This window comes from Homo sapiens, chromosome 11, assembly GCF_000001405.40.
Source record: "Homo sapiens chromosome 11, GRCh38.p14 Primary Assembly".
Taxonomy (NCBI): Eukaryota; Metazoa; Chordata; class Mammalia; order Primates; family Hominidae; genus Homo; species Homo sapiens.
Genome location: NC_000011.10, coordinates 94,627,713 through 94,636,959, shown reverse-complemented (window position 1 = coordinate 94,636,959; position 9,247 = coordinate 94,627,713). Strand labels below are relative to the sequence as shown.

Below are 9,247 nucleotides of genomic sequence, written 5' to 3'. Positions count from 1 at the left end.
TCCCACCTATTGTAAAGCAACCAGGGATGCCATTATTGAGGGGCTTGAAGATAGATGCTGATGAAATTCTTAGAATCACCCCATTTATTTAAAAGCAGCCCATCTGACTATCTAAGCTTCCATGCATTTATCTAAATAATGGATATTGAGGGCCTACCAGATGCTATTGTTCGATGAGATCACAAAGATATGCAAAACAGCCAGAGAGAAAAATGTAGAAAAAACTATGCTGCACTGTTAGAAGGGCAGGAATGGAGTTGTGTGTGTGGTACAGGGAGGATACAGGGAAGGGAGATTCTAAGTGCCTGAGATGGACAGAGAAGTTTTGACAGCAGAGCTGACACTGAGCTGAGCTTTAAGTGAGAATTAGCTGAGTCAGTTTCCTAAACTTATCTGAACAGCCACCAGACACAAACACACACAAAAATCACCTAGGGACTTGTTAAAAAATAAATTCTCAAGTTTCTTCCCTGGAAATTCTTAGTATAGAACTCAGTTTTAGCAAGCATCCCGGGCAAATATAGGAAGTGAGTGTTAGGAGAATGGGGCCCATAATTACCATGTGCTGATAGAAACGGTGCCAAGGTCTTGATAATGTTTCTGATAGCTAAAACTATCAGTATATCACATTTGACTTATATTAGAAGGCAGGAATTTGAAAAATAAAAGAATGAAAGAGAAAGGAAAGCTACCCATACTTCCACCATGTAGACCTAATCATTGATATTTTTGATAAATATTCTGCTTGTCTTTTTGTGTACACTCACACACACTCACACGAAACTGGAAGAATACTATACCTATTCCGTTTTTTACATACTTTTTTATCTTACAATAATTTTAGATTTAAAGAAAAGTTGCCAAGATAGGACAAAGTGTTCACATATACCCTACACCCAGTTTTCCCTATTATTGTCTTATATTAGTACACTGCCTTTGTAACAGTTAATGTACTAATATTTATATGTTACTGTTATCAAAAATCCATACCTCATTCAGATTTCCTTAATTATTATTCATTGCTCTTTTTCTATTCCAAGATCGGATCCAAGATATATTATATTTAATTACCATGTCTCCTTAGGCCTATCTTGGCTGTGACAGTTTCTCAGTCTTTTCTTGTCTTTCTTGACCTCGACAAGTGTTTTGTAGACTTTCCTTAAACGGATATTTTTCTGATATTTTTCTCATGGTTAGATTGGAGTTGTCTGCTTTTGTTTTAATTATAATTTTAAGTTTGGTAAACTTTTAAATTACAGAAAAAAAAAATAAGACAAAGATGCAAATATCATCAACCCAGAATTGACAGTTGTTATCATTTTTGTATTTGTTTCATTTTTTAAGAAAACTAATAGAATTATAGTCAAATTCCCTTTATTGAGCATCCTTACCTATAATTCACAACCCTCCCTGCCTCATAGATGTAACCACTGTCATGAATTTAGTGTGCAATCTTCCATTTCCACTTTTTCCTTTTATATGTATGTACACACACGCCTATAAAACCAGGGAAATATGTGGTATTTACATGTATGTTAATTCTTGTCTATGAATGACATTGTAAGCACATCAGACCAACTGGTTCAACTTTTATGTGACAAAGTTGTGAGTTGTTTTTCAGTTGCCATGGACCCCCAGGTTAAAGGGCACATAATCTGAGCATGCCCAGATGAACCAAATGTGCAACCACAAGGGGAACCTAAGTGCTGGGATGAAGGAGCAGGACTGAATTAAGAAGCAGCAGACACAGCATGGCAGGATCCAGCCAGAGCATGCGTCCTGGCCTCACCTCACTGCCAGATCCAATCAGATCATGCCTTATTACCCATTTTAAAATCTGACCCACCCCCAGCTCAGGGAGACATTTGAGCATTTCCTCCTCTCATGTGGCCAGTGGACTTGCGATTAACCTTTCTCACAGCAAAAACCCAGTGCTTCGGTGTTGGCTTTCCACTGCACATGGGCAAACAGACCCCATTTGGTTTCAGTGACAGCATGATGTACCCATCATTCTTTAACTTGATTTTTTTTCACTTAACCTTTTTTTTTTTTTGATAACTATTCATGTAGATCTACATAGTCTGAGCCAGTTAATTTCTTTTCATTGCTATATGGTATTCTGTAGTATGCCTACAGTATAGTTTATCCATTTTCTTCTTATAGACAGGTGCAAGAAATTCTCTGAAGTATAAACCTCAAGGTAGAATTGCTGGTTTGTAGGATATGGGCTTCCAGATATGATTGAACCGGTTCATGCTCCTAGCAGCAATGTTTAAGAGTTTGTTTCTCTGCATTCTCAACAACAGTTATTACTGACAGATAGTTTAATTTTTTCCGAATGTATAAGAGTGAAATTAAATCTCATTGGTGTTTTATTTTTAATTTTCCTTATTACTACTGGTGAAGTTGAGTATCATCTTAGATATTTGTTAGTGAATTGCTCTTGGGCCCTTTTTTCTACTGGGTGTTTTTGTCTGTTTTTCTTACTAACTTAAACTTTTTTTGTTTTTGCATATTTGGGTTAATCATCCTTTTCTTGTTGTGTATGTTACACATATACTGTTTTAGCCTACAGTTTGTCTTTTAGCATTACTACTGTCTCATTTGTCATTCAGAAGTTTACATTTTGACAAAGTCATCAGTCTTTTCCTGTATAATTTATACTTTTTCTATATTGCTTAAGAAATTTTCCCCTACTTTAATATCTTAAAGATATTCCCTATATTTTCTTCTAGTTGTTGCAATTCTTTTTCATGTTTTCTTTAAGCTACATGAAGTCTCTTTTTGTTTTTCATGTGAGCTAGGAGTCTAATTTTCTTTCTATATGAAACCTAGCTATCCCAGTATCTTTTATTAAGTAGTTCATCCTTTCAACTGTAATGCCAATTCTACTAAATGACAGATTCATATATGCAGCAATTTGTTTCTGGGATTTTAATCTGTTCACCTGAGCTTTTATCTATGACTCAGCCGAAACCACAGTTTTACTTAATTAGCTTCATAATAAACTCTGATACCCGGTAGAATAAGCAACCCTTTCTTGTTATTCTTTTTCAGAGATTTATCAGATATTTTTGGACTTTTGTTCTGCCACATAAATTTTAAAATGTTTATAAAGTTTTATGGGAAACCATGTTAGGATTTATATTGGAATCGCATTGAAATTATAGATGCATTTGGGGGAGGATTGCCATCTTTACCATATTGAATCTTCCTATTCATGAGCAGTTTACCTGTCCACTTATTAAGACCTTCTTATGTGTTCTTCAAGTTTTGAAATTTTCTCAGCAAAAAAAGTTTTACGAATGTTTTGTCTTATTTACGCTTAGGCTTCCAATCACTTTTATTGCTAAATTAGATTTTTTTTCAAGTTTTGTGTAAATACTGGGTTGTTAGGAATGCTATTGATTTTTGAAGGTAGTTTTATATGATTTAACTGTTGAATAATTTTATTAGTTCTGAAGGATCTCTTAGATTTTATAGACACCATACCATGAAGACATAATGATAATTTTCTCTCTTTTTTTATTGCTGTATCTCCATTGCTTTATTGGCTAGAACCTCTAGCATAGTATTGATAATAGCTGTGATAAACGATATCTTTGACTTGTTTCTGACTTTCTGGGAAAATCTTTTTTTTTTTTTTTTTTTTGAGACGGAGTCTCGCTCTGTCGCCCAGGCCGAACTGCGGACTGCAGTGGCGCAATCTCGGCTCACTGCAAGCTCCGCTTCCCGGGTTCACGCCATTCTCCTGCCTCAGCCTCCCCAGTAGCTGGGACTACAGGCGCCCGCCACTGCGCCCGGCTAATTTTTTGTATTTTTAGTAGAGACGGGGTTTCACCTTGTTAGCCAGGATGGTCTCGATCTCCTGACCTCATGATCCACCCGCCTCGGCCTCCCAAAGTGCTGGGATTACAGGCGTGAGCCACCGCGCCCGGCCGGAAAATCTTTTAAACACTTAGTTGATGATATATAATAAAATTTATTATATAATGTAGGTTTTTGTGAGATGTCTTTTTTTATGCCAAAGATAATCAAGTTTCCTATTATTTATACTTTGTTAGAAACTGTCTTTTTACATCACAAATGAGCACTAAACTTTTCTGAATTCTTGGTCTGTACCTGTTACAGTAATTATACGGATTGCCTCTTAATCTGCTATGTGGTAAATTACATTGATACATTTTCTAAAGTTAAATCTGTGCATTCCTGGAATAAACCATGCTTAGTCTTATTTAAAACCTATTTTTCTATGCTGCTAAATGGAATTTCCTAATGTTTTACTTAGATTTTTTTTATGTCGATGTTTACAAGTGACTTGGCATGTCGTTTTCTTTTTTATACTGTCTTTACTGGTTTTGGGATTAAATTATATTGTCTCATAAAATAAGTTGAATGGCTTTGTCTTTGTCTATTATCTGGAACAGCTTGTATAACATGGGAATTATCAGTTCTTTGACTATAGTAAAACAGTTGCAAATCTCTCTGGCTCTGTTTTCTTTTGAGGGAGGTCATTGTTGACTACTGATGTAATCTCTTGTTATTTTGTTAGTACCATATTTGCAATAGGATACACCTATACCATGTCAGGCTTCCTTCTAATTAAGCATTTCTACAATTACTACTAATCTAATCAATACAACAGTCTTATAAGCTAGGTAAAATTATTATTACTATTTTGCATCTGAGGAAACTGAGGCAAAGAAGCAGAGCCAAAACTGAACCCAGGCAGTAAGAGTTCTGGTTGTAGAATCTATGCTATTAACTACCACACTATAGTAAGTTTTTCTATTTTTTCTTGGGCAAATTTTGTTAATTTACATATTCCTAGAAAATTATACCTTCATTTAAAATTTTTAAAATTATTGGCATAAGGGTGTCGTAGTATTCACATGATATTTTGAAGTCTTTACTACACCTTTTTTAAATTCCTAACATTGTTTTATTTGTGCCTTCTCTTTTTCAATTCATGAATCTTGCTAAAAACCCTTCTGAGTTTTTACCCTCAGAAAACTAGATTTTAGTTATAAGATGCCTAGGATTTGCTATAAAATAATAAGGTAAGAAGAGTGCTGGGAGTATATATGAAGGAAGATTGTCCATAGTATGGTAATTACTGAAACAGTGTAAATTGGGTTCATTGTACTATTCTCTACTTTTATCCGTATTTGAAAATTTCCACAATAAAAACTAAACAAAAAAAATCAGATTTTGTTCTTTTTCCCATAATTTCTATTGGGTTTTAAAATTCATGTTATTTTTCACTGATATATTATATTATTGTTATTTCCTTTTTTTCCCCCTTGGGTTTTTCCCTATTGCTCTGTAGCATCTTTTAGTTAGTTGTTTGGTTAAATAAATTTCAGTCTTCTTTTGTTTTCTAGTATGCACATTGAACACTGCAAATTTCCTTGTAAATATCAGTTTAACTTTACCCTACAAGTTTTTTATTATTTAATCTTCTTTTCTCATTTCAAAAATTTTCAGTGTGATTTATTTTAAGCCATAAACTGTTTCCCTCAATGTGTCTATATACTATCAATTATTTGGAATTTGTGGAGAATTGCTTTGTGTCTCTTAAATCATGTTTGCTAACAGCTTTTTCAAATCTATATAATTTCTAATAATCATGTCTTTTTGGCCAATTTTTAAGAGATACATATTAAAGTCTCCCTGTTTACTTGTGGATTTAAAAAGTTGGTAAGTTTCTCTTTGTAATCCTTGCAGTTTTACTTTTGTGTTTCAAAGCTATAGTTAAAACATACGCAATAATTCATGATTGCTATATCTTCTGGGGCTTTGTTTTTGCTACTTTTATAAATATATAATGTCCTTACTTTCACCCTTAAATTCAATTTCATTTGATATTGCTATCCCAGCTTTATTTTAACTATTTATTCAAAGTACAGTCATCCCTGGAATATGTGGGGAATTGGCTCCAGGACCCCCACATATTCTGAAATCCAAGCATACTCAAGTTTCACAGTTGGCCCTGCAGAATCTATGAATACAAAAAGTTGGCCCTCTGTATACATAGGTTTCACATCCTGAGAATACTGTATCTTCAGTCTGCGTTTGTTTGAAAAAAAATTGCATATAAGTGGATCCATACAGCTCAAAAAAGTTGTTTCATGCTCAACTGTATATCTTTTCCTATTTTTTTACTTATAACCTTTCTATGTTTTTCATTTTAGATGAGTCTCTTATATACAATATATAGATTTTTAGATCCACTCTCACAGTCTCCAATAAGTAAAATTAATATTTTACATTTATTAACATTGATTATATTTGTAAGTGTATATATGTCATCTTATTTGGTATTTCATATTTATCATATTCTTTTTTCTTTGCTCCCCCTCTTCTCTTTTCCTCTATTGAATTGATAGTATCCCAGTAAATCAAGTAAGCAGTCCATTAGCCTGAGGCTGGCTGTGTACTTCGAGATCCTGTGTAAGAAACCACAACCTAACTACAGTTGACTCTTGAGCAGCAAGGGTTTGAACTGAGTGGGTCCACTTAAACATGGATTTTCTTCCACTTCCGCCACCCCTGAAAAAACAACACCAACCCCTCCTCTTCCTTCCTTCTCAGCCTACTCAGCATGAAGATGACAAGGATAAAGAACTTATAATGACCCACTTCCACTTTATGAACAGTAACCGTATTTTTCTCTTCCTTATGATTTTCTTAATAACATTTTATCTTCTCTAGTTTATTGTAAGAATACAGTAGATAGTACGTATAGCAAACAACATACGTGTTAACAGACTTTGTTATTCATAAGGCTTCTGGTCAAGAGTAGGCTGTTAACTTTTGGGGGAGTCAAAATTTATATGGGAACTTTCAGTTGTGTGAGAGGCTGAAGCTCCAAACCCCACATTTTTCAAGGGTCAACGATATATTTTTGTAATAAATATAGCAGAGTTTCAGCCAATCAGAAGCAGCTGAGCTTCAGCCAATCACAGCTAATCATGAATCAGTTCATGCCACATAAGGCAAAAGCCTAGCTGATCAGGTGATTTCTCAACTTTGCTTCATATTTGGCCTATAAAAGCTGGCCACTCAACTGCTGGGTGGAGCTCTGTGAATCTCTTCTGGTTCTGAGTGCTGCCAGATACATTCTTTGTTCAAACAAACTTTGTTAAATTTAATTTGTCTAAAGTTATTCTTTCAACAATCCTTATCCTCTTTATTTTCCTTCCACTGAATTCAAAGTTATAGATGGTGCCTTCATTCTTTTAGAAAATAATCACATACATATTTAACTTTACTATATTCTAATCAAATGTAAAGTTAGAATCTCTAATATCCTTTCTAACAACATAAAGACTTGAGCTCACTTTAGCTTCCCTCTAAATGCTATCATCTTGCTTGTGTTATGTGCTTGTATTGCCCATGCTGATTTCTAAATTTTATTAACATGAAAAAAAAATTTTTTTTTTTTTTTGAGACGGAGTCCCACTCTGTCACCCAGGCTGGAGTGCAATGGCACGATCTCGGCTCACTGCAACCTCCGCCTCCCGGGTTCATGCCATTCTCCTGCCTCAGCCTCCCGAGTAGCTGGGACTACAGGCATCCACCACCATGCCTGGCTAATTTTTTGTACTTTTAGTAGAGACAGGGTTTCACCATCTTAGCCAGGATGGTCTCAATGTCCTGACCTCGTGATCCGCCCACCTTGGCCTCCCAAAGTGCTGGGATTACAGGTGTGAGCCACCATGCCTGGCCTGAAAAAATATTTTTTAAACAGCCAGTACAATTTACATTTGCATCATATTTAGTGGTTTCTTTGCTCACCCATCCTTTATTCAATGGGTTTATTTTTTGTTCTGCTGAGGTACATTCTTTAGTAGTTCTTTCAGCAAGGGCTGTGGGCAGTAAACTCTTATTATATTTGAATTTTTAAATATATCACTCACTTGACCAGGTATGATGGCTCACACCTGTAATCCTAGCACTTTGGGAGGCCAAGGCAAGTGGATCACGAGGTCAGGAAATTGAGACCATCCTGGCTAACACAGTGAAACCCCGTCTCTACTAAAAATACAAAAAAAAAAATTAGCCAGGCGTGCTGGCAGGCGCCTGTAGTCCCAGCTACTTGGGAGGCTGAGGCAGGAGAATGGCATGAACCCAGGAGGCAGAGCTTGCAGTGAGCCAAGATTGCACTACTGCACTCCAGCCTGGGCAACAGAGAGAGACTCCGTCTCAAAAAAAAAAAAAAAAATTTATCACTCAGTCTTCAAACATCATTTAGTTTCACATAAAGTTCTAGCTTCATTATTCTTTCCCCTCAGGACTTTAAAGATATTATTTCATTTTTTCTTATCTTTTCTTGTAACATTAAGCCTACACAGTGTAATTTCTTCTTTGCAGGCAGTCTGCAAGTCTGCATTTCTTCCTTGAAATCTTAAGCTTTTCCGTTTATAGTTGATGTTATGCAATGTTATGACAATGTATTAGGTATGAAAATTCTTATTTATTCTACTTGTGATTTTTTTTTCATTCTAAGAGTGTGTATTTCAATGTTGGAACACTTTCAAGCATTGTCTATTTAAGAATTGATTCCTATCTCATTCTTGATATTTTCTGTATCAGGAACACCTACCAAATCTGTGGTGGGTGTCTACTTTTACACTCAATGTCTATCTACTGCATTCTAAGTGAGTTCCTAAAGTCTGCCTCCCAATTTACTAATTTTCTGTTCATCTGTTTTTAGTCTACTGCTTAACAAATCTCTTGAAATTTTTACTTCAAATATTTTTTTCATTTTTAGAATTTCTACTTTCTTTTTTAGTCCACCAATTTTTTTCCAAAATTACTTGGAAAAAATAGTTTAGATTCTCACTTTACACTAAAATGTAATATAGATAGATTTACAGAGTTAAATGAAAGGAAATTAAAACCATAAATAGTTAATATTTCTCAAATCCCTACATCGAGATAGATTTTCTAGGTTTCAAATTCCTAGCTGTGTTGGTGATATTTTTCTTTATCTCTTCATACTTTTCTGTGCTTTTCAAATATTCCATACTACAGATCTATTATTTTTATAATTTTAAAGTCAATGATTTTTTGAAAAAAGCTTTCCCAATAAATTGGAAGGATATTGATTCAGTCATAAATTCTTTAGTCCTCCTCATCCTCTGTCCCTTCAAAATAAGTCCTTTCCTTATCTTCCAGTAGGAGCTGTTGGATTATTCTTGGCCAGTGGGCCCTGGGTCAGATGAAAGTGCAACATACAGGT

General features: G+C 34.9%; 1 long non-coding RNA gene across 3 annotated transcripts in view, besides 1 other annotated feature; it reads left to right on the top strand.

Moving 5' to 3' along the window:
* Positions 1-9,247, top strand: part of PIWIL4-AS1 (PIWIL4 antisense RNA 1) — a 195,024-nt gene that overhangs the window by 103,396 nt on the left and 82,381 nt on the right. The window lies entirely within an intron of this gene.
* Positions 2,890-3,090: a silencer, noted in NCBI's record as "peak1402 fragment used in MPRA reporter construct". NCBI's record gives its function as "represses an SCP1 promoter by STARR-seq MPRAs in K562 erythroleukemia cells {active_cell/tissue: K562}" and the evidence as "EXISTENCE:reporter gene assay evidence [ECO:0000049][PMID:32103011]".